This window comes from Homo sapiens, chromosome 8 (assembly GCF_000001405.40).
Source record: "Homo sapiens chromosome 8, GRCh38.p14 Primary Assembly".
NCBI classification, from domain to species: Eukaryota; Metazoa; Chordata; class Mammalia; order Primates; family Hominidae; genus Homo; species Homo sapiens.
This window is the reverse complement of record NC_000008.11, coordinates 29,860,614-29,886,926: the sequence shown is the minus strand read 5'-3', so window position 1 is coordinate 29,886,926 and position 26,313 is coordinate 29,860,614. Positions and strand designations below refer to the sequence as shown.

General features: G+C 41.6%; 1 long non-coding RNA gene across 2 annotated transcripts, besides 1 other annotated feature; it reads right to left on the bottom strand.

Annotated features, from left to right (window-relative positions):
* Positions 303 to 1,273: an enhancer, noted in NCBI's record as "NANOG hESC enhancer chr8:29743170-29744140 (GRCh37/hg19 assembly coordinates)". NCBI's record gives its function as "activates a minimal SCP1, AML or CMV promoter by ChIP-STARR-seq in primed H9 embryonic stem cells {active_cell/tissue: H9 hESC(primed)}" and the evidence as "EXISTENCE:reporter gene assay evidence [ECO:0000049][PMID:30033119]".
* On the bottom strand, positions 4,540 to 24,560 carry LOC105379354 (uncharacterized). Of its 2 annotated transcripts, none has more exons than XR_949629.1 (4): positions 24,320 to 24,560; positions 5,205 to 5,324; positions 4,883 to 4,961; positions 4,540 to 4,755 (listed from the first exon to the last, which is right to left on the bottom strand). It is a non-coding gene; the product is annotated as an uncharacterized LOC105379354 (long non-coding RNA). The 2 variants fall into 2 exon arrangements; XR_949630.2 differs by lacking the exon at positions 24,320 to 24,560 and adding an exon at positions 22,229 to 22,554.
* Positions 24,561 to 26,313: the final 1,753 nt, after the last annotated feature.

Sequence of the window (26,313 nt, the reverse complement as noted above, 5' to 3'; positions counted from 1 at the left end):
CGCCAGATGGTGGCTGAATTTGTAGCTTTAGGAGTTGCTCTCAGAATCCCATCTCCACACACTTCCAACATCTTTATTTACAATAGTCATAAGGGGAGGGTCAGAGCAAGGCCAGCAAAGCTGGGGACCTGAGCTTGCCTGCAGGTACAAAAGCTACTACCTTAGGGTACTTCTTGCCAAGGTTTTTTGGCCAGAGCCAGGAAGGAGGAGTGTGGTGGGATGGCTTCTTAACACCATCTAAACATTTCCTAAATACTTTCTCTGCCAGGAAACATTCAAGAAATCAAACCCCCATTTCCCTGGGGTCTGAATATAATTTGAATAAGAGGGGAGAGGGAATTGAGGTAGCGTAGTTGGGGGAGGACAATATTGTAGAAAAATACCTCTGCAATTGTTTTATCTCTGTCTATCTTAACAGAAAGCTGACCTGTGAGGGCTTCTTTAGGGTCCTCTCTGATTTGTATCCCATCTCACCTCCCCAGCCCCAGGTTCTTTTTGAACTTTGAACCATCTATGTGTATACAAGCTACTGTGTCATCTTGAGTCAGTGGTGGCAAACCAAGCTTTCCTGCCTTCAATCAGAAGACACTTCCTATTTGAACAACTCTGCAGGATCTCACGCTGTTTTCCTCCCTGGGTGGTACCATTTGCTATAATGGGGGCAGGCACACAATGGATCTTGGCCACTCTCAGTAGAATCGGGCAACTCCCCGTATTAGAATGAGGTTTTATCTCCCTGGAGAATCTGCCTATGTTGGGGCAGCCATATGTGTGTTTTTGAATCGAGGAGGCCTGAGCCACTCATTCACATTTGTTTAATCCAAATGCAGGCCTCTCTGAGTAGGCGGTGGCTGCGGGGGAGATATTTGCATTTCTGACCTGCTGCATGCCTTTGCTGAATGAAATTCATATAATTACTACACACCATGACTTCCTCTAGAGTTGTATCCGTTCTGGTTGGCTTTTTTTCTTCCTCCACTTCATCATCATCCAATTAATTAACAGTTGCCATGGTGACTGTTGCCATGGCAGCATACAATTCTCCCAAAGGGCTTCTCATTCATATTCTAATGAAATACATACACATGGCTGGGTGGCTGGAAAAAGTGGTCAGGAGAATTCAAGAAGAATGGAAGACGAAATAAAAGACGGTTGCTTTGTTCTTTTGCCCTGCCCTATCTAGCTTTGTCTTTAGCCTACTTTATCTTAGGAAGAGGATGCTTTTCTTTATTGTTTTTCTTATAGAAATGCCTGGCTGTTCTCAGGGTGTGTCATATTTTTAGTAAAGTAGTCTTTTTCTGCCTTAGGGCCGTGCTCTTCTCTCATTTTTTTTTCTTCCTTTATAAGGTGAGGGACACATTGATTTTCCTCTGCTGTTCAGTCTGACAGGCTTGCTGGTGAGATTTCTAATGGATTCTCTGTAGGCCAAGTAAAGGAACCAAAGCTTTGTCATTTACAACAATTGGCAGCTTCCACCTCTCAAAGGAAGATCATATCTGTCACCTGTCCACATGTGACTTCCCAGGAAGCAATGGTTCTAATAAGATTCTTAACTACCCTTACAAATCTCTTCATGGATTGTGTTATAGAGCCGAACCAGGTGTCCGCTCACCCGGTGCAGCAAGGCCAAACACTGACATCGGGATTGCAGCAAGAAAAAGTGAAGCATTTAGTTGCCAGTTGCCAAGCAAGGAGGACCAGGCAGCTAATGCCTAAGTCCTGACCTCGCTGATAGCTTGCAGATAAGGGATTTTAAAGGCAGGGCTAAATTTCAGAAAAGCAGAAGTTACAGGCAAAGTCATAAATCAATACACGGAGGTTATATATTGGTTTTGGCCTAAAAGGGCCGGTTATCTTGAGCAGGAGAGCTTATAGATCATAGATAGATTTCAAAGATTCTGATTTGGTTAAGGAAGAGAAGATTTGTTTAAAAATTTGGGGTCAACAGAAAAGAATGTTAGCTCTGGCTCCTGGGTGTGACTTTCTCCAGGCCCCTCAGGAAGAGATTTTGAACCAAGAACTGTGGTCAAAGTTTACTTTTTAGTTCCCCATTATCTGAGGTCTACTTGCCAGCAGATCTCCTTGCTGGGGGTCTGGGTTTCCGAAAAACAATTCGGGGATATATATTAAGATGTTATCTTTAGTTTCCATAGAGAATCAAACCTCCCGTGATTCTAGCTTCCTTGGGTATTGTTTTAAGCTACTGTTACCTTCTTGCTTATCCAGTTGCTTATTTAGTTCTCAAGGCCAGCTAGGTGCCTGGAATTTCCCTTGAAGGAACTCAAGATTTTCTTTTATTTTCATGCTTGGAGGCCCAGCAGGCCCCTAAGAAGGGGTACTGGTTTTGTCTCAATTACTTATGCATGTGAGACAGCCAAGTGGAAAGGGGTCCCCAGGGAAACTCCAGCCAGCCCGCGCACTGCGTTGCAGTCGCAGAAGTCTGCGCCATTTGCAGTGGGGAGGAGCTTGGCCCTTCCTCTTCCTGGGTGGAACCTGGAATTTAATCTGTGAGGCAGGAAGCACACTATCAGGACTCTGGCTTTGTGGAGAGTCCCTGTTTTCCCTTTTTTTTTTTTTCTCCTTTTTGTCCAATAAGTACCATTTTTATCATCCTTCAAAGTATCTGTGAGCCTAATATTTCATGGCCATGCGACAAGGACCTCATCCTTAGCTGAACTAAGGGAAAAGTCCTACGACACTTGTTTAATGTCTTGCCATACTCATTCGCTTTCTCAGTTCCTCCAGAAAGAATGAAAAATTTCCAGGACTCTTCTTCCATCCACATATCCCTGGCATGTTGACCTGACTAAGGTGACCTTAGCCCAGGACCGCTGTTAGATTGGAATGCCTTCATTTTGGCCTGCCTCCCCGCTCCGACTCTCTGCTGCAGTTCCGTTCTGGTCTGCTTCCCTCTGCTTCTCTTCCTGCCTCCAGGCCCTACCCCTGTGCAGGCATCTTCCACAAAGCTGACAGAAGTTGACAATTCAACATGAGATTTGGGTGGGGACAAACATCCAAACTATATCAGCTTCTTTCCAAAAGAAATGCAATTGTCTTAAATGCCCTCCTTAGATAGCTCATCAAGTAACCAGGAAAGATCAACCACCAGAAAAGAGAAGAGACTGGGAGTTGTCCTGTCCACGGACAGAATTTTTATCTATTCTTCTGAGGGCGACTCCAGGAGATTGTTTGGGGGACTTTATTTGCATCATAACACAACTTTTGTTCCTGTGTAGCTCTGCCCTTCCTCTGCTGGCTGCCTCTTGCCTCTTGGACCTATGCACCTCTCCCCTGTGAAGAGAGTTGTAAGCATCAACCATCTGGCCCCTCTCTGAGTTCATGTTTTCTATGACTCTCTATTTTTTCTCCTATTAATCTGCGTTTTGTCATTTGATTTTCAGTGAACCTTCAGAGGGCAAAAGGAAAGTTTTCTCCCTCAGCCCCTATGTAGATAATCCAGGGGCTCCGTTTTGGGAAATACTGGCCCAAAAGGAAGCCCAAATTCTTAGCATGGAATGCAAAGTCCATTGCAATCTGATTCCAATCTGTTTTTGCCTTTTTAACTTCTAGTAATGATTCCTCCTCAGATTTTTCACCTCAGTGCCTGCCTTGTGTTCTAATTCTACCAAATTTTTCATTATTCCTCTCACCATACTGCACACAACTCAAACTCCAAGCCTTTGCTCAAACTCTTCTTTTGTCTGAATGACCCCACTCTCTCTGATCCTGGTCAGACTTCTCAGTTCAATGCCACCTCCTTCCTGAAGCCTCCCAATCTTTCTCAGGTAGGACCATTCCTTCCCTGTGTCCCATAGCACTTTTAAGGCCGATGCTTGTCCTTACCACATTTTATTTTAATTCTCTCTTTTAGGATCTGTATTCCTTGCCCTTTGAAGATTCAGGGCTGGGGAAAGAAAAGTAGCAATTATTTAGCACCTACTAAGTATTGTTTATGGTGACAGTGAACTATTCTCCTCATCATAAACTTCTTTTTTATTAACAGCAACAACACTGACAACAAAATAACTGAAATGAGTCCTTCATTCCAGGTAGTGTGCCAAGAAATTTACATGCATATTCTCAATATTCATAGCAATCTTATAAAACTGCCATTATAATATACCTTTCCTTACAGAAAATGAAGGAGCTTAATGTACTTAAAGTTGATACTTAGTAAATGGTGCAGTTGGAATTTATCCAAAATTGTCTGACTCTAGAGCCTTCTTGGGTGATCCTGCCTCTCATTGTTACTGAATTTTAAGGTGGAGAAACTTGCTTGAGGGTACCCAGCAACAGACAGCCAGGGCTGCTGGATTCCCAGGCCTGGGGAAAGATACTCTTCAAACTTAGAACCTGCAGCTCCTCCTGTAATTCCTGACATATGGTTCATTGAATTGAAGTAGACCTGTTGAGTATTAACATGACTCTCATTTTGATTCAGAGAAGTGACTTATCCAAGGTAATGTAGTTAGAAAAGGTCTTGGCTGAGACTCCAACAGAGATGTTTTTACGATCAAGTAAAATTCTCACCTTGTCAAAGATGCCTCCTCAATGCTATGGACAATTGGATATGTATTTGAGATTCTGGCCACCATTTACAGCATTGTTTCAAGGGAAAAAATATATCCTGAGGTAGTTTTCAAGACTGTTAGAGTCAACTCTTAGAACTTGGGCTAAGTCAGAGACTGTGAAATAGGCATGCCATAGCTCTGTTCTCACCAGCAGTAGCATTTGTATCCAGATCCACGTAGGTATCTGCAAAATATTTATGGTCTTAGAATGGAGTTTCAGTTACATGTTTGGTACTTTGTCCAAAAGACAATATTTGGAAGTGGATTCTATAGCACCAGGCAGCTGATGAAGGAAGGAGATGTTTTCTCACCTAATTTTCACAGATGGTTTCTGGAACCTCACCTTCAAACCCCTTGACAAACACAGTTCTGCCTGCACTCTCAGAGGATCTGAAAAAAAAATCATGCAATTAACCCCATATGTTCAGCTTTGGAGAGCACCTGGGTAACAGCTCCTAGCCAGAGCTTAGTATGCCAGGCACTCTCTGATGAGGGGTCTGACCATTTTCTTTTCCTAGGAATTGAATAAGTCAGTGATCCATCTGTCTATCAAGTGTCTGAAGTCAGCAGAACCCCTGATAGTTAGTGCCCAAGCCTTCTTTTTACCCTCTGTCCCATTGCAAAGCAACTAACCCCATCCTGGGATAGCTGTGAGCTGTGGCTGCAGCTTTGCTGTGCCTGGTCTTCTGCGGGATGAATGGCTGGTGGCTCTGTCCCAGGGTGAAGCTTGTGCTGGGGGCGGGTCACAGGGTGCTGAGGAGAGAGAAACCCCCTGTGCGTATAGTGGAGTTCCATTGATTTCACCTCATTCATCACTCCAGTGAGCCTGCCACTGGCTGCAACGTGAAAGTGTACCCTGCTCAGGTGTGAGGGGACAGTGTTGTGAAAAATTCATCTCTCGGGTTATGCATTGGACCCCTGCTTGCTGATGCACTCCTGCACTCCTCACCCCACACGTTTATCGGCAGGAATATCAAGGTATCAGGTTTTAAAGAGGTGGAAGTCAGAGAGCAAAATTATTAACCTCCATGTCAATTCTAATTAATGCAGCAAGCCACCTGGATACTTAGGGACTGGAAATGAAATCAGTTTGAGTTTTCAAATTTAATTTACATACAGCTGGTATGATAAATCAGTAACACATTGCTAGGTAATTCACTTCTCTGTAGTTCAGGGGAAGGATTTCTGTCCTCATTGCTATCTGGGTATTTTACAAATCCTGACATTAATCCAGAGCTTTGGCCTTCCAAGGAAGGGCATGCTGGTTATAACAGCTTCGAAAAATTTAACTTCTGCTGCAGCTTGGCCACAAAGAGAAAATGTCATTTCTATATTTTTTTAATTGCCACTTTAGTTTAATTTATGATTTCCCATCCCCATCCCCACTCCCACCCCTACCACCAGTGAAAATAAAAAGCTAAATTTCTAGTTTGGTTTGAGTGAATGTCTGACCTGATCATTTAGACAGGGTCTTCGAGGGATGCTCAGTCTTTTTAGGAAAAAATGGTTTCACTCTTAGATTACCTCCACTCTGTGACTGCTTCTTTTCCTAAAATGGCATCTAGAGTATGGAGACAACTGGTTTGGAAGGGAGTGAGGGCTGTGGCTCCTGGACTTCATGTGGAGGGGAGGAGTGTCCTCTCGTGTGGGGACTGTGGCTTCAGGTCCATGTCTCTTTGTACTGGTTCCTGCCCCAAGACCATGGCTGGTGTCACTTGGGCCTGGTCAGGGGCTTCTCCTCTGGCTGACCTCCAGACCCTATGGCCACTGCCCATCCCAGCAGGCCCCTGGCTCTCACCATCAGTGCCCAGCAGTCAGAAGGTGGCTTTGGCAAAGTGAAACCTCAGAGCCTCCCTCTGTCCCTCCTGCTGCCTTGCCAACTCGATGCGGCCTGGCTCTAGGCTGGTGTAAGGCAGTCAGAGAGAGTTCTTTTTGCAGAAGTCCATGCAGGGAGCAGAGGCTGTGCCTCCTCCTACTCTCTTAGGTTCACTTATTCCATGCCAAACACAGACAGGGGACATGGGGACATGCCTCGAAGAGCCTTGCTCTCCTCTCTTCAGCTTTTCCACCATCCTTCAGGCTGGAAAAGGATGGGTCTTTCTTTTACCCTCCTGTGTAATAGTGTCCTTCTTCTACAGGAGTGGCAAACATTCTGGCCTTCCTGCCCTGGTGGAGAGTGCATATATTCTAAGTGGCAGTGGTATTTTTATGCATTAGTGTCATCTAGCCTTGGTCCTTAATGATTTAAAGCAGGGTGGGTGTGTCTTGAGGGAGTGAAGGTAGAAGTGGGAAAAACTGTTTTCAGGTCAATACCCTGGCTTCAGGGTGAATGCTTTGCTGTTTAAGCCAGTTTCTGAACGCAGTAAATTGAAAATTACTCTTGCTGTTCTTTCTGCATTCTTTTGGTAAAAATCCTCCTTTTCTAACAGATGGGAGTTTCTGGGTGCCTTTGGCAATGTGGGGTGATGGCGACATACTCAGAAATCCAGAAGAAAAACACATGAACAATTCTCAATACAATTTTACTTTCATTAAATCAATAATATGTGAGGCTTTGCCACACGTTCTCTGTCCAGACACACCTGGCTGTAGTTCACAGGATGTGATCCCTTAGTCAACAACTTATTTATTTATTTTTTTTAAGATGGAGTTTCACTCTTGTTGCCCAGGCTGGAGTGCAATGGCGCGATCTCGGCTTGCTGCAACCTCTGCCTCCTGGGTTCAAGCGATTCTCCTGCCTCAAGTAGCTGGGATTACAGGCATGCGCCACCACACCCGGCTAATTTTTGCATTTTTAGTAGAGATGGGGTTTCACCATGTTGGCCAGGCTGGATGGTCTAGAACTCCTGACCTCGAGTGATCCACCTACCTCGGCCTCCCAAAGTGCTGTGATTACAGGCATGAGCCACTGGGCCTGGCCTAGTCAACTTTTAAGAAGTGACAGTAGCAACTTGCGCGTGTGCATGCGTATTTGTGTGTGTGTGTGTGTCTGAGGGAGAGGGAGAAAGAGAGGGAATGCAGTGTGTTAGATTATGGGCTGAGTAGTGTGGAGAAGGATATCAAAGGTGTGAAAAATTTGGGATTAAACCTGTAGCTAGAACCCAAAAATTAGAATGTTTGAAGGCCACAAATAAGTGAGTGCAACTAATATAGCCCCAACTTACTACAGGATTTCTGAGGGACCACAGAACAAAGAAGTGATTATAATTAGACATTTTTAACCAGAAAAGACTTCCTAAAAGAGGTGATTTTGGGATTAGACTTGCAGGCAAGGTTATTTGTACCTATACAAATCAAAAGGAACAGGAGCAGATGGATTAGCTGACAGGAGCTGAGGCTGGCTGTGAAGGAAATAGGGTTGGCGAGATAGGAGGGGACCACTGTGAGTAACGGGCATGGTTTTGTGGGACTAGTTTTTGCTTAGAAATCAAGAGATGCTCTAAGCTGTTACTGGTGAGCTATGTGACCTGGTAAGCCCCCTGGCCTCAGTTCCTCATTGGTTAGAAGAGGGATGAGGAGGTCTCTCAGGCCCCTTCCAGTTGCAGCCGGCTCTGATTCAATGGCAAGAGGAATCCTGGTCGAGGTTTTGAGAGTGGAGGGGTGTGGTGAAAATGACGTGGACATGGGATTCTTCCAGCCGTGGTATAGTATAAATTGGAGCCCAGGAGAGCAGAGGCACAGGCATGAAATGATGTAGGGATAATGTCCTGGGGGTGAATAGTGGCCTCCAAAATGATATGTATAAGTTCTAATCCTTGGAACCGATGAATGGTACTTTAAATGGCAAAAGGGGACTTTGCAGATATGATTAAGTTAAGGGTTCTGAGATGAAGAGATTATCCTCGATTATCTGGGTTGGCCCTAAATGCCATCACAAGTATCCCTCTAAAAGAGAGACAGAAGGAGTTTTGAGACAGACAAGGGGGAGACAGTGTGGTCACAGAGATTGGAGTGAGGTGGCCACAAGCTAAGGGATGCTTGGAGCCCCCAGAAGCTGGAAGAGGCAAGGAAGGAGGCTAGCGCCTCCCGAGGGAGTGTGACCCTGCTGATACCTTGATTTTGAACTTTCCATCCCCAGAACTGTGAGGAAATAAATTTCTGTTGTCTGAAGTGCCCGGTTTGTGGTAATTTGTTACAGCAGTCACAAGAAATTAATACAAGAAATTTGTAGCTGAAATAGGGAAAGAAAGTGAAGGTTTGTGAGATACTGGGCTTTCTCTCAGTTACCTTCTCAGGGAGCAACTGTGGGAGAGAAGGAAAGCAATTAGAAATGGCTCTAACATGAGCCATGAGACTGTGGTGTTCCTAAGAATGCATATTTTTGACAGGGATTGCTTTGTAGACATATTCTCCTTTCATCACCTATGTGGCACATCTTTTTGTCTCCAATTTTAAAAGTAAATAATGTGTCTCAAAGTCACACACACATATGGAGGAAAACAGTCATAGAATTAAAAAGCTTAGGATGAAAAACTTCAGTTCCCTCCCTTCCCCTTCCAGCCTCCAGTTTCACTTCAGAGACAGTTGCTTTCATCTCTGGGGCTTGTTTTTCTTGGCATTCACCTTCATCTATGATGATTTCTTGATTTATCAATCTTAGACCATGTCTATTAATTTCCTCTTCTGACCATTATAGATTTCCTTCTCTTCTGACCTCTCCTCTGTTGGCTTCCCCTCCCTCCAGCCTTCAGTATAGTTTAGGTGATGGAATGTTAACTTCGATGTTTGGATCAAGTCACCATGATGTAGTAGCCTTTCAAAGGAAGTGACTGAACACTGGATAGTTGATTCTGAAGCCCATAAAAAGACAGAATAAAAAGGACAGAAAGTTGAGAGTGTGAAGATGATATGGTTTGTCTCTGTGTCCCCACCCAAATCTCATGTTGAATTGTGATCTTCAGTGTTGGAGGAGGGGCCTGGTGAGAGGTGATTTGATCATGGAGGTGAATTTCCCCCTTGCTGTTCTCATGGTAGTTGAGTTCTCATGAGATCTGGTTGTTTAAAGTATGTAGCACCTCCCCCTTCACTCTTTCTTTCCTGTCACCATGTGAATATGTGCCTGCTTCCCCTTTGCCTTCTGCCATAATTGTAAGTTTCCTAAGGCCTTCCCAGCCATGCTTCTGGGCAGCCTGCAGAATTGTGAGTTGATTAAACCTCTTTTCTTCATAAATTACCCAGTCTCACGTAGTTCTTTATAGCTGTGTGAGAATGGACTAATACAGAGAACATCTTGTGAGGAGATTTTCTTCAGGGAAAGCTGTGCTGAGTCCCTGTCAGGGCTGTCTACCCATCACTTCAAGCCTGTGAGGGTTTCTGCCAGGATTACAAGGAAGGCATACCCTTCAATGAGGACCTGTTGTGACTTCCCCAGGATATCGGAAGGGTGAGAAACAGGCTCACTGCTTTGGTGGTAGAGGCAGGAGGACTGCTTCTGTTTGGGAGGGGCCTGCCCCCTTGGAGTCTGCCAGGAACAAAGACAAACAGTGTCATCTCGCCGGTCATGGGAGCAGCTGTCTGAAGGGCCCAGTAGGGAGGTCTCCGAAGAACAGATGAAAACACCATTGAGAAAGAGGAGGAACCTTCAGAAAACCATCCCATCAAGTGTGAACTTTCTGCATTTTTTTTCCCCTGTCCTTTTTCCCATTTGCAAAGAGGAGGAGGTGAGTGAAAGGTGTGGCTGAACACACCTCCCACCTGAGTGTAAAGTGGCCATCGTCAACTGGCCCTACCTGAGGAAAGAGAGAATATTCAGCTCTAAATTAGTTTTGGAGACTTGATTGTTATTAATACATAGGAGTGGGCATTCTAATGATTAAATCGAGGCTCTGTCTCCTGAAATAATGACTCTAGGACTAAAGTGGGAAAATCTTGGGACCTACCAGCGTTTTAATCTAGCCAAAAGGTGAACATTTCCTCATTGAATACATTTTTCAAACTTAAAAAAAATCAAAACTTTTATTTCAAGATAATCATAGATTTCCATGCAATTGTAAGAAATCATATAGGGAGACCCTGTGTGTTTCCCCAAGAGTAATATCTTGCAAAATGATGGCATGTTATCACAACCAGGATGTCGACATCAATACAGTCAAGATGCAGAACACTCCATTAACACAAGGGTCCCTCCTGCTGACCTTTTTAACCACAGCCCCCTCCCTCCTTAACCATTGGCAACCACTAATCTCCTCTCCATTTCTATAATGTTGCCTTCTTAATAATTCTATATAAATGGAAGTATATGTATGGTATATAATTTTGGAGGATTAACCTTTTTCTTTCTACTCAGCCTAATTCTGGAGATTCATCCAAGTTGTTGTGTGTATTAATAGTTTTTTGTATGTTTGTTTGTTTGTTTGTTTGTTTGAGACAGAGTCTCCTTTTGTCACCCAGTGGCGTGCAGTGACATGATCATGGCTGACTGCAGCCTTGATCTCCTGGGCTCAAGCAATCCTCCAGCCTCAGCCTCCAGGTAGTTGGACTTACAGGCACATACCACCATGCCTGCTAAATTTTGTTTTTTGTAGTAGTCGGGGTTTCTTATGTTGCCCAGGCTGGTCTTGAACTCCTGGGCTCAAGCAATCCTCCTGCCTTGGCTTGCCAAAGTGCTGGGATTACAGGCATGAGCCACAGTAGCTGGTCCATTTTCTTTTTTATTATTCAGTAGTATTCCATGGTATGGATAAGCCAGTTTGTTTAACCATTCACCCATTTAAGGACTGGGCTATTTCCTTTTTTTTTTTTTTTTTTTTTTTTTTTTTTTTTTTGCTATTATGAGTAAAGCAGCTGTGAATGTTTGTGTTCATGTTTTTGTGTGAGCTCATCTACATTTCTCTGGGAATAAATGCCCAGGGGGCGTGTAATGGCTAAGAGGTATAATAGTTGTAAGTTTATTTTTTTAAGATGCTGCCAAGCTTTCCCCAGAGTGGCTGTACCATTTTACACTTGCATCAACAATATACCAGTGATCCAGTTTCTCTATGAATGTATTTTAAAGCCATCATCAGAGATAAAAATAAAGTTACAGATGACATCCCCTAGGTGGTACCACTCTGGCCTCTGTAAATAGCAAGTTTGATCTGCCTGACCCATTCAAAAGTGGCAGGGTCTGCAGAGCTGGGAGCGGGCCTGGCTTGGTCTCTGGGCAGTGGTGCAGTACCGGGAACTGTCCAGAGAGGCACCCTAAGGCTTGACAACCGCTTACTGAGAGGCCTTTTAGTTAGCCCTGTTCAGGGCTCTTCCACATTCATTGGTCAGGGCTATGGCAGCGTCCTTGGATTGGAGCTACTTTTCCCGTTACGGAAACAACAATCTTTTTCATCAGAGCGCAGTAGTTACTATTAAAAGCTGCAGTCGCATGGCAGGCTGGAAGTGGCGATTTAGAGAAACTTTTGTCTTCCCACTTCCCAGAGTGGTGCCAGATGGAGGGGTTTTGCTGGGACTGGAGAGGGAAGAGTGGGGCTAGGATCAAAGCCAGAAAGGGGAATGCTTCCTAAAGAAAGCCGCATGCAGAGGCCAGTGTAACTCCTCAGTTGCAGAGGGGGCTGTGGTGCCTTCTCTCAGAGCTCAGAGGCTACTAAAAGCTCAGCTCTGAGTCTGAAAGGCTTATATGATCCGGCTCTGGAGCTAAATGCCTCCAGAAATCCCAGCTCGATCACTTACTGCCTGTGTAGCGACAGTCAAGTTATTTTAACCTCTTTAAGTCTCAGACGTCTGATCCATAATATAAGGATATGAATAGCACCTCTTGGGTTTATTATGAGGACTATATGGGACAATATTTATATAAAGTCCATAGCACAGTCATTTCAACTTGACTGCACATTAGAATTACTCAGAGATCTTTAAGGAACACTGATGACTGGGTCCCATTGCCAGATTCTGGGATCATTACAACTGTCCTGGCGTGTGAGTTCTAAAAACTCCTTAAGTGGGCCAGGCGCGGTGGTTCACGCCTGTAATCCCAGCACTTTGGGAAGCTGAGGCGGGTGGATTACCTGAGGTTGGGAGTTTGAGACCAGCCTGACCAACATGGAGAAACCCCATCTCTACTAAAAATACAAAAATTAGCTGGGCGTGGTGGAGCATGCCTGTAATCCTAGCTACGCGGGAGGCTGAGACAGGAAAGTTGCTTGAACTCGGGAGGCAGAGGTTGTGGTGAGCCGAGATCATGCCATTGCACTTTAGCCTGGGCAACAAGAGCAAAACTCCGTCTAAATAAATAAATAAATAAAAACTCCTTAAGTGATGTGCTATGTTTAATTGCCCCCACTGTGATCTCCCCCACCAAGTTCATGTCCTTTCTGGAACTTCAGAATGTGGTTTTATTTGGAAATAGATTCATTGTGGGTGTAGTTAGTTAAGATGAGGTCATATTGGAATAGGGTGGGCCTTTAATCCAATAGGACTGGTGTCCCTATTAGGAGAGGAGAAGAGACACAAAACAGACAGGTACAGAGACAAAACAATGTGAAGAGACACAAGGAGAATGCTGTGCAACAGAGGAGGCAAAGATTGGAACGATGCATCTATAAGCCAAGGAATGCCAGAAATTACCAACAACTCCCAGGAGCTAGGAGAGAGGCAGGGAATGAGCTTTCCTGCAGAACCTTTCAGAAGGACACCTTGATTTTGGACTTCAGGCCTCCAGAGCTGTGAGAAAATACATTTCTCTTGTTTTTAGCCACCCAGTTCCTGGTATTTTGTGACAGCAGCCCTAGAAAGCTAATGTGGATTGTCATAATATACAGCCAACGTTGTCAGTCACAGCCATAGATGGTAGAATGTGGCAGAACATGGCTCAGAGAGCATCAGCTATTTTCATTATCTCAAAGCAGATAGCTTTAGCCATATTTAAGTGTCTACTGAGTCTCAGAAAAGCATATTGGATAGTAGTTGGTGCTGTTTGAGAGGAAAGAGTCCTAAGGAGCCCTGTTCTCTCAGGATGGGCCACCCTAGTCAATCACGGGGAAACAGTAGGTGTGATCACTGTCACGGGAATCCAGCCCATTCATAATAGTCTGAGAAAGCAGGTGCTCCATGTCAGTCTGGGTCTCAGAAGTTTGGGACACGCTGCATTCCATATTCCCTCTGTATTAGTCCGTTCTCATGCTGCTATGAAGAAATATCCAAGACTAGGTAATTTATAAGGAAAGAGGTTTAATTGACTCACAGTTCTGCATGGCTAGGAAGGCCTCAGGAAACTTACAATCATGGTGGAAGGCGCCTCTTCACAAGGTGGCAGGGAAGACAATGACTGCCGAGCAAAGAGGAAGCCCCTTATAAAACCATCAGATCTCATGAGAACTCACTCACTATCATGAGAACAGCATTGGGAAAACTGCCACCATGATTCAATTATCTCTACCTGGTCCCACCCTTGATACATGGGGATTATTACAATTCAAGGTGAGATTTGGGTGGGGTCACAGAGCCAAACCATATCACCCTTCTTTGAAGAAAACAGCATACGTTAGCATGTTCAAGGTTCTCCTGGAGTAAAGAAACCCCTTTGATTTTACTTATACCAGAATTTCCCAAGCCAGTCTGACTATGTCAAGCTCAACTTTTTCCATAACATGTATTATCCCAGCAGAACCAGTGCTCTGGAACCTGAATTAGGAAATCCTGACTAAAGTCACACCACCACAGGTGGGTACACACCTATCCAGAGGGAAAACTTAAAGGAAAAGGCTGGGCACGGTGGGTCACACCTGTAATCCCAGCACTTTGGGAGGCTGAGGCGGGTGGATCACTTGAGGTCAAGAGTTCAAGACCAGCCTGGCCAACATGGCGAAATCCTGTCTCTACTAAAGAATACAAAAATTAGCCGGGCGTGGTAGCATGCACCTGTAATCCCAGCTACTCAGGAGGCTGGGGCAGGAGAATTGCTTGAACCCAGGAGGCAGAGGTTGCAGTGAACTGAGATCATGCCACTGCCCTCCAGCCTGGGCAACAGAGATAGATGCTATCTAAATAACAACAACAACAACAACAATGAAAGACCAAAAAACCAAAAAACAAAACCTTAAAGGAAAGTGATTCCCTTGTTTTGTCATCAGGAGGAGCTCAGCATGGGCAGCACTGAGAGATTTGGAAACTCCAAGATGTTTTCCAGTTCAAGAGCACAGGAGCAGGTTGCACATGGAAGTTGGCTATGTACACTGCATAGATTCTCTAGAATAAAAAAAAATCTTCCTGGACATGAAAGTGTTCTGGGTCAAGTTTTAGAGCAGGGATGCCAGTGTCCATTGAGTTTGTCACCCTTGAATGCACTGGACAAATGCAAGCTTGGTGGTGAAGGGTGGTTTTTAAAGAGCAGCATTGTTTGGTCTTCAGAAGTTTGAGGGAAGATGTAACAGCTGTTGGAGGGTGTAGGGGGTCATAACAGCTGTTCTTCCTCTTCATGGAGAGTGGAATGAGAGAAAATGAAGCAGAGAAGTCTTCTGAGCTGTGAGAGAGCATTTCCCAATAATTCACAAAACTTTAGAGTGATAGAGTCAGAACTCAAAGCCAAGTCTCAGATTCTGAATCCTGTGTTTTTTTCACACCAAGGAATGCTGCGTAGAGGGTGAATCTGAGTTTATAGACTCAGTTATGCAAAGAATGAAACTGTCTTTCTCTATAACGTAACAACTGTTTCAGACCTCCATTGTGACAGAGTGGCAGAAATGTAATTTTAGTCAATTACTTTTGGGGTTGCTATTACCTTTGGGATGGTACCCAGTTCCAGGGGCTTACATGGGGACCATATGAGAGGGGGTGGGCAGCGCTGTGGTCCCTGATGTCTTGCCTCTGCAGGTGTCCTCTGGAGTATCCACTTCTTGTCTGGTTCTTGGTCATCTGTTCATGAAGACTGTCTCTGTCTCTGTCACCACAGCTACTTTGGTTCTGGTGGCTCTACTTGTGAGCCAGGTTAAAGCATGGAGGTCTCTGACAGGCTGTCTGTGCTCTTGTTGGTCTAGGTAACCTATATAGTCATTTTCTCTCTGGCATCTGGCTGCCCCCCTGAGACTCAGCTCGAGTCAGGGTACAGGGCTTTGCTTTCTTTTTCCTCTGAGGCATCAGCTTTTTGAAAAACAAACGAGGAAGATCACTTTACTTCCTTGTGTTCCATTCAATCATATCATCTCCTCTTCAAATGAAACAGAAGAACCAGGGGAGGATGATGATGAGAAAAAACCACAAGACCCTCAGAACTTCTGAACTACTGAAAAGAAAAAAAAACCCGTCACCTAATGTAATACTTCAGTAGTAGTAGTATTCCAGAAACTTCTCCCATTGCAGTGGGCCCTGGAGGAAGGGTGTAGTCTTTTCTTCCCCTGACTCATGTAGATGGATAAGTTCTGGGGCTCTGGGGCTCTACAGTATGTATGTACTGGGGCTGGCCTGTTGCCTAATATCTTGACCTCCAGCTCTTAGTGTGACAGAACCAGCCCAAGCTAGGAAGATCAATGTTCCGGGTTTGCCTGAGTCTAAGAGGTTTCACAGGACGTGTGACTTTCATTGCTAAAATTGGTACAGCCCAAGGCAAACTGGATGGATTGGTCAGTTGGTGAAGATCCTTTGATTGTTTTCCTCTGGGGCTAACTTTCTGAGCCTCTGTGTAGACTCACCCCCAGACTTCTCCAGTCCTGCATGTGTCTTCTCTTCACTGGGTTAAAGGAGTAGAGACTCATGCATGAATCAAGAGCCTGCTAACAGTCAGGCATTTTATTTTCCAGATGAATCTCCAAGGATTATTCACCTTGGAGGGTGAGTATCATGGTTCTCGAGCCTGTCTGCTGAGAGCCTTGGAGGTCCCCGCTTTATCATGGCTCCATCTGACCAGCTTGCTATCAGCACCTCATTTGCTTTTTCTCAGATAATTATGAATTTCTGCATCTTATACTCATGCTAGTGGATGCCTTTTCAATTAACCACTGACGATGGGAAAGAGACAGATTTCTGTATCCATGAATTAACTGTCAGTACTGACAGGTAGCGGGGAACTTGTGAAGAGTACAGTGTGAGTGTGTGTGCGCGCTCACAAGCAAGTGCACAATTGGATAGGTGGGCGGTGAGTGTAGGAAAGAGAGAAAGGAAGGTGGGAGTGCAGCAGAGAAGACCATCTGTTCTTTGCAGCCAATTTTAACTCTTTCCCCCCTTCTCCTAGTGTTTCGCTACTTCCCTAGTTACCATTATCTGAAGACAAACTTTCAGCGCTAGATATTTTTGATTTACTGAGCTATCAGAAGTGAAAGGTGACTTCTGTTCCCAGTCCTTCACCCTTCAAGATACCCAAACAACAGCTGGAACAGTAGAAGCCCCATCATTGAAGGAAATCTGGATTCTGTTTCATCTTTACACTAACTTCCTATTCTCCATTCCCATTGATTTTCTCCCTAGCTTTGAGAAAATCAGTTAACTTCTCTGGTCATCTCTTGCTTTGTAATAAAATGAAAGTGAAGGCTCAGAGTCCCAGATATAGTGACATATTTTTAAAATGTGATGTTGGTGATGCTGACTGTGGAATCTTTTTATTATACCATTTCTCTGCTCAAAGGCCTAAAACATGGGCTAAGAAAGCCCCACAGCCTATGGAATAAAATCTAAACTCCTAAATAGGCCAGTCCTTGACCTCCACAATCTGGATTCCAAAAGCTTGAGCTGTTAATCATCTGTTGCTTCATTTGGCCCTCAAGCATATATTAAAGTGTACTTTAGTTACTTTTAATAATTATCTGTCTTATTTTTAAATTTATTTAAAAGTTCCTTGACAAGCAGACTGCTTTTTATCCTTTAAAAAAAATCCCCAACACCTCACAGCTGTTTTGCACCTAGTAAGTGCACAATAAATGTTATTCAATTCAATTAATAAATTAATAAATTAATGAAACTTTTTTGGGTGGGATACACAGATCCTTTTTAAAACACAAGCAGCTTATGAATCTTTAAATTTATTCTGTACTTATTCCCAACCGTAAAAGAAACATTCAATATTTAATCAGTAACTATGATTTTGGCTGTGAGTTTTTCATAGATGCCCTTGATCAGAATAAGAAATTTCCTCCTGCTCTCAGTTTGCTGACAGTTTTTATTAGGAATGAATGTTGGATTTTGTCAAGTGCTTTTTCTGGACTGATTGAGATAATCATATAATTTCCTCCTTTATTCTGTTAATGTAGTGAATAACTACATTGATTTTCGATTGTTGAACCAGTCTTGCATTTCTGGGATTGTATTTTATCATTTTTCTATTATCCTTAGATATATACATTTCTATGGATAATGAATGGGATTCGCCTGTAAATTTTCTTTTCTGTAATGTCCTTTTCAGGTTTTGGGATTAGGCTTATCCTAGCTTCATACAATGAATTGGAAAGGATAGCTTTAGATTTATATGAAAGTTGCAAGGATGTAACAGAGAATACCCATATACTCTTGTACCCAGTTTCCTCTATTGTAAAGAACTTACTTTCCTATGGTACCTTTGTCACAACTAATGAATCAATATATGTACATTATTATTTATTTGTTTATTTTTGAGACATAGTTTCACTCTTGTTACCCAGGCTGGAGTGCAGTGGCGCGATCTCAGCTCACAGCAACCTCCGCCTCCCAGGTTCAAGAAATTCTCCTGCCTCAGCCTCCCAAGTAGCTGGGATTATAGGCATATGCCACCACACCCAGCTAATTTTGTATTTTTAGTATAGACGAGGGTTCTTCATGTTGGTCAGGCTGGTCTCGATCTCCTGACCTCAGGTGATCCACCTGCCTTGGCCTCCTAAAGTGCTGGGATTACAGGCATGAGCCACTGCGACCGGCTGTGTATGTTATTATTTTTAACTAATGTCCATACTTTATTCACATTTGCTAGTATATAAGAAAGCAATAGACTTTTGCATATTAACTTTGTATCTTGCAACTTTGCTGTAATCACTTATTAGTTCCATGAGTTTTTTTGGTTTGGAGATTTTCTATATAGATGATCATGTCATCTGTGAACAAAGATGGTTTTATTTCTTACTTACCAATATGTCATATATTGGGAAGTAAATGTCTTTTATTTATTTTCCTAGTCTTCTTGAATTAGCTAGGATTTTTATTTTTTTATTTATTTTTTATTTATTTATTTTTTTTTGCGTGGAAGATAGGCTCTTGATCTATCACCCAGGCCGGAGTGCAGTGGCATGATCATAGTTCACTGTAACCTCAGCATCCCGGGTTCAGGTGATCCTCTTGCCTCAGCCTCCTAAGTAGCTAAGATTGCAGGCATGCACCACCATGCCTGGCTAATTTTAAAAATTTTTTGTGGAGATGAGGTCTTGCTATGTTGCCCAGGCTGGTCTTGAAGTCCTGGCCTCAAGCAATCCTCCTGCTTCAGCCTTCCAAAGTGCTGGGATTACAGGTGTGAGCCACTGCACCCAGTCTTTATTTTGATATTGACTAGGTGAGAGTGGACATTCTTGCCTTGTTCTTGATCTTAGAAAAGCATCTATTTCTCACCATTAAGTATGATGTTATTTGTAGTTTTCTTATGGATGTTCTTTATCAAGTTGAGGGAGTTTTTATCTACTTCTAGTTTGTTGAGAGTTTTTATGATGAATGGGAGTTGGATATTGTCAAATGCTTTTTCTGCATGTATTTATATGATTATGTGATTATTGTTCTTCAGACTAATGATGTGACAGATCGCATCAACTGACCTTGGAATGAGGAGCCAGCCTTGCATATCTGAAATAAATCCCACTTGGTCATTGTATATAATTATTTGTATACATTGTTGGATTCAATATGCTAAAATTTTGTTGAGGATTTTTGCATTTATGCTCATAAGAGATATTGGTTTATAGTTTTTCTTTCTTGTAATGTCTTCAGTTTTGGTATTAGGCGTAGTACTAACCTCATAGAATGAATTAGCAAGTATTTCCTCTGCTTCTATGTTCTGGAGGTGATTGTAGAGAATTGATGTAATTTCTTCCTTAATTATTATCATTAAATGTTTGATAAAATTCACCAGGGTACTCATCTGGGTCTGGTAATTTCTGTTTTGAAGGATTATTAGTTATTAATTCTACTTTTTAATAGATATGTGCCTATTCAGATTATCTACTTATCATTGTGTGAGTTTTGGTAGATTTGGCTTTCAAGGTTCACCTCACTGAGGTTACTAAATCTGTCAGCATAGAGTTGTTAAAAATATTTATTATCTTAATGTCCAGAAGATCTGTAGTGATGGCTCCTCTTTCAACTTTGAAATTAGTTATTTGTGCCTGCTCTTTTTTTTCTTAGCAAACCTGGCTAGAAGCTTATCAATATAATTGATACATTCAAGGAAAGTGTTTTGGTTTTGGTGATTTTTTCTAACGACTTCTTGTTTTCAATTTCATAGACTTCTGCTCTAATTTTTATTTTTTTCTTGCTTACTTTGAATTTAATAGGCTCTTTTTTCTAGTCTCTTTTTTCTAGTTTCTTTTTTGCATTTATATTCTTTATTATTTTATGAAGTACATTTACTTGCTTTTCCAGTTTTGTAAGGTGGAAGTTTAGATGATTGATTTTAGATGTTTTAAATCTTTCTTTTTTAATATATGCATTTGATGCTATACATTTCTCTAAGCCATGCTTTCACTGCATTTGCCCTAATTTTGATAAGTTGTATTTTCATTTTTATTTACTTCAAACTATTTTCAAATTTATTTTGATACTCTCCTTTGGTGCATGTGTTATTTGGAAGTATATTGTTTCATTACAAAGTGCTTTGGGATTTTCCAAAGTTTGTGGTCTGAGGGCATTCTTTGCGTAATTTTTATTCTTTTAAATTTGTGAGAGTGTGTTTTATGGCTCAGAATGTGGCTTTCCTTGATGACTGTTTTTTGTGAGCTTCAGAAGAAGGTGTATTCTGTTGTTAGATGAAGTTTTGTGTAGGTGTCAATCATATTTAGTTGATTGATGATGCTACTGAGTTCAGTTATGTCCTTACTGATTTTCTGCCTGCTGAATCTATAAATTTCCAATAATGGGGTGTTGAAGTCCAACTAGAATAATGGTTTCATCTATTTCTCCTTGCAGTTCTATGGGTTTTTGCCTCACACATTTTGATTCTCTGTTCTTAGGTGCATGCATTGAAGATTATTATGTTTTCTTGGATAATTGACCATTTAATCATTAATATAATGCCTCTCTTTATCTCTGATAATTTCCCTTGCTCTGAAGTCTTCTCTATCTGAAATTAATATAGTAAGTACTCCATCCTTCTTTTGAATACTATTAGCATGCTATGCCTTTCTCCGTTTCTTTACCTTTGATCGGTGTCTTTACATTTAAAGTGAGTTTCTCATAGACCACATAAATATTTGGGTCTTGTTTTGTGTTTCACTCTGGCAACTTCTGTCTTTTAATTGGTTTATCCAGATCATTGACGTTTAAAGTGATTATTGATATAGTTTGATTAATATATATCATGTCTGTTGTTGTTTTCTAGTTATTTCTCTTGACATTTTTGTTAAATCTTCTCCTTTTCTGTCTTCCCTCATTTTTATTAAACATTTCATGTGATTCTATTTCTCTTCTCTTCCAATTATATTTAAAAAAATGTTTTTTAGTGAATGCTCTTGAGTTTGCAATATACATTTACAATTAATCAAAGTCCTCTTTCATATAACAATGCCATGTCAAGTGTAGTGCAAGTACCTCATAACAGAGCATTCTCACATCCTCCTTTTCATCTCATATTGACATTGCTCTCATTCATTTCACTTATCCGTAAGCTATCATCACTGAATATATTTGTTGCTATTATTATTTTCAATGAATTTTATCTGCTAGATCAACTAAGAATAACAAAGAAAAAGATTTTTATCTTACCTTTATTTGTTTATTCTCTTCCACTTTTCCATTATTTATGTAGATTTAAGTTTATGACCTATATTAATTTTCTTCTCTCTGTAGAATTTTTTTAAACATTTCGTGCAAAGCAGGTTTACTGGTGAGAAATTTTCTGAATTTTTTTTGTCTGGGAAAGTCTTTATTTCTCTTTCACTTTTGAAGGATAATTTTGCTGGACATAGAATTTTAGGTTGGTGGTTTTCTTTTTTTTTCTTACTACTTCAAATATTTTACCCCACTGTCTTCCTGCTTGCAAGGTGTCCACCTCCTCCTCCTCAGCTTCTTTCAAGGTTTTCTCTTTGTCTTTGTTTTGAATATGAAAAAAATCTAGGGGTAGTTTTCCATATTCCTATGATTAGGTTTTAATTTTTCAGTGAGCATGTGCCCCTGAGCTGTAACCTTCACAGGTGCTTCTTAGTTTTGTGGCCCTTCCTTTAGGTGAGGCAGGAAGGCTAAAGTGAGCTACAGTTGGGTATTTCTCTTCTACCTCATGTAAGTCTAGAGCTGGCTGAAGTTGGGTATTTTTCCCCCCATTGGTTGGTTAGGTTTCAGTGGAACTTCTGTTGGCTAGGCTCTGGTAAAATAATTTTTGTTGAGGGCAGGCCTTATTAAGAATAACAGAGTGCCCTGAGCATATTTCAATAAAAGGGGGCTACTTTCCCCCCTACCCTCTGCCAAAAACATGAGGGGATTGAATTTTTCTCTAATGTTCATTGTGAGATCCTAGTAGGGCTCCAGGAGATAAAATGCACACAACTGCAGTGACCCCCACTAAGACTGTCTGCACTTACCTCCCAGAGTTTTTAACTCTCAGATTTGTCCACACTGAGCCTCCAGCAATTTGTCAATTACATTTTAGAATTTCTTTCTTCAGTACTGGTTCCCATGGAGACTTCTGTTTCCTGGCTTCTGCTTCATTGAGTTCTGATTCTATGTATCTACCTGTCTGTCTTTTCAATTTTGCGGGGAATCAGTGACTTCAATTTCCTGGTGGATATGGAAAGAGTTGTTGATTTACAGTTTGGTCAGACTTTTTCTTGTGTGAGAATGGGAGTGATAACTTCTGAGCTCCTTACATGCTGGACAAGACTTCAAACAGCAATCTTTTGAAACAACATTTTGCCTCAGAGTTTCTAATTGTTTTTGGTACAATGATTAGTTGATTCAAGGTATTACATCATTACCAGTAACAAATTGCTTTCAGTATTATTTTTTAATGATAGAATTTCATCATAATGTTCCATTAGTTATTTTAATCAGTGTCTTGTTATTGAACATTCTGGTTGGCTCCATTTTTACTGTTATAAATACTGCTTAATATCTTTATATATAATGTTTAATTTAAAAAATCGTTTCTTAGGATAAATTCCTGAAAGAGGAATTGCTAGGCCAAATAATAGATATATTTTAAGGCTTCTGGAATGTTGCAAATGAGACGGAGCATGGACCCCTCCTAGGGATCTGTTGGACAACCCCCACAAACATGGAAATAAAGGAAAATCTTGAGTTCCTTAAAGGGAAATTACAGCTAGCCCTGAGAAGTAAAGGAACAACTTGATAAGCAAGAAGGTAATAGTAGCTTAAAGCAATAGCCAAGGAAGTTAGAGTCACAAGATGTTTGGTTTTCTATGGAAACTAAAGACAACATCTTAACATATATCCCTGAATTGTTTTTTAAAAAACCCAGACCCCCATCAAATGGGTTTGCTGGCACATAGACCATAGATAAGGGGGAACCAGGAGTGATCTCTGACTGCCCACTATTCTTTGTCTAAATTTGTTCATAAGGGGTCTGGAGGAGGTCATGCCCATGAGAGCCAGAGCTAACATTCTTTTTTTTTTTTTTTTTTTTTTTTAATAAACAGAGTCTCACTCTGTTGCCCAGGCTGGAGTGCAGTGATGTGATCTTGGCTCACTGCAACCTCCGTCTCCCAGATTCAAGTGATTCCTGTGCCTCAGCCACTGGAGTAGCAAGGATTACAGGCACATGCCACCATGCCTGGCTAATTTTTTTTGTATTAATATTTTGTAGTAGAGATGGGATTTCAGCATGTTAGCTAGGTTGGTCTCAAACGCCTGTCCTCAAGTGATCTGCCCGCTTCAGCCTCCCAAAGTGCTGGGATTACAGGCGTGAGTTGCTGTGCCTGGCTGAGCTAACATTCTTTTCTGCTGATCTCAAATTTTTAGACAAAGCTTTGCTTTCTTAACCAGTTGCAAATCAGAAAATCTTTAAATTCACCTATGACCTGTAAGCCCCCATTTCAAGATGTCCCAGCTTTTTAGATCAAACCAATGTATAGCCTCCATGAATTGATTTATGATTTATAACTTCTGCCTTTAAAAACCCTTACCTATAAGCCATGGGGACTCAGGTGTTAAGCACGAGCTACCTGATTCTCCTTGCTGGTGCCCGGCAATAAGTGCCTCACTTTCTCTCACTGCAATCCCAATATCAGTGCTTGCTTTGCTGCACTGGGTGGGTGGACCCAAATTCAGTTTGGTAACACTAATTCTCTTCCCAAAAGCTTATACCAACTTACATTCCCAAAAGCAGTAAATGAAAATGCCTACTTTCCCATACTTTGGCCAATAGTAGATTTTTTTTTTTATATTTGATAGTTAAGAAAATACCATATCATATGTGCATTCCTTGATTACTATTGAGGGTAAATATATGTATCTATATTTGGTGTGTGTAACTTTTCCTTTTTTTAATTTAAGATCATTTGTTGAAATGTACACTTTGCTTGTTTCTTCACTAAGTTGTTCAATTGAAATTATTTTAACTAAAAATTCAAATCTAATTAATTGAGTTTTATATGAAGACTTCTTACTTAGGCTAGGGAGAAAAAGATATGCAACAATGCAGTTTGGATGCAGACCTGTAGGCTGCTTCGCCTGGTGGGTAGTTAATTAATCTCTGCTGGATCTCATGCAGTTTGACTTTGGAAACTCATGCTCCATGAAGAGTAGCGATGGAATATAAAATTTTGGCTGAAGTGTTGCTTCTCCTGAGCCAAATAATCAGGCTATGAAGTTCCTTCAAGTTCTCTGCATCCTTCCTGTGATAAGATTAACACTTCAGATCTTCTGCGAAGGAAGAATCTGGAATATTCACTTCCAAACAACCCCTTTTGTTGTGTCAGCCTGAGGCCCATCACTTGCCCTTTTCAGCAAAGCGTTTAAATATTTTAATGAATTCCAGGGCGGTTAACTTTGTAAGACTGTGGCAGGAAACCTACCTATGGGGTGAGCATAATTTTGGGGATAGTCCTGGCAACATAAGGATTGTTACCCCTCAGATTTATTTTCTGTGCACTACAAGGAACAAATTCACCTGGCTCAGTCAATCTTAGATGTCGACACTGATAAATGACAGTGAGAAATGTCTCATCCTCAAAGATGAATTTAAAAGATGCTTCTTCCAGAAAATGCACTGAAGCTTGCTTCCTCGTTTGAGTGACTGTGAACGAGGAAGGACTCATCACTCCCTCTAGGGTAGAAGGAGGTATAATCCTGAGAAACAAGCAAACAGGAAGAAGTTACAGATTAAAGCTTCTACGGGCAGGGAAAGCTTAAGAACAAAAAATATGAGTGACGCTGGCATATGCATGGGGATCTCCAGAGAAATCTTCCTTTTTGGTTGAACTTCCCACATTGGTACAAATATGTAACTCAAGAGTTGTGATCAATGTAGGGAGACTTCGTACGCCCACATGTTCTTCAGATCAGTCCTCCCTCCCAACTTCCCCTTCCGCATCCCAGGCCCCATGCCCAAATGATTCCCCCAAAAACCTTTCTGTGGAGTTCCTGGGTCAGGCCTCATTGTCAGGGAGAAGGCTGTGACCCACCCTAGGTTTCGAAGTTCTTCTTACCCTAATAGGTTACTGAGAACTCTTAAGACCAGTTCCCATCTCAGGTTAATAAATGTAATCTCAGACTCCCAGGAGGTCAAAGGCAAGCCAGCTGAGGTGGCCTGAATTAACAGTATTCTAAGGTGGATATAAATCATTTTGGCATCATGATTCATTTGACATTTTAAGGCTGAGTCAATTCTGTTTGGCTTTGCCCTGAAGCTACTATGATGGAGAGGGAGGCTGCTGGTTGATCAGTCATTTACCTTCAAAGATGGTAAAGGATGTGCAGGGAACTCTAGACTTGATGAGTTATAAATGAAGGTGAAGACATGATACCTTCCCCTTAGTCGTTTATAATCCACTGGATGAGTAGGACAAAGATAAATAATAACAGCAAAAATAAAACCAACAACAGTATTAGCTGACCTTTACTGTATGTATACTTGCTATGAAGCAGTCATTCTATTTAGGTGTCTTTTCTTTATTATGGTAGATGCCTTGCCATAGATTAAACCATGGGTCCCACTTCTTTAGTGAAAGAGATGCCAAAGAGTCACCTTTGTCACCCAAAGTTCTGGGCCTGAGACAGAAGGCAGAGAAAGAACACACACAGAGTCTGGTCTATAGGTTGCTAGTGTTCAAAGCATCCTCATCCCATGGGCCTAGCAGTCTGTGGTCTGAAGCAGTGCTGCCCAATAGAAATAGAATGCACAGAACTAGAACATGAGCTGCAAATATAAGCCAAGTATATGCTTTAAAATATTCTAGTAGCCACATCAAGTAAAGGAAAAATAAGCGGGTACAATTAATTTTAATAAAATATTTTATTTAACCCATGTATCTAAAATATTATTTCAAAACATAATATAAAAATTATTTATGAGATATTTTACATTCCTTTCTTTCAGCTAAGACTAAATCTGGTGTATATATGTATTTTTTAATTTTTTTATTTTTTTGTATTTTTAGTAGAGACAGGGTTTCACCGTGTTAGCCAGGATGGTCTTGATCTCCTGACC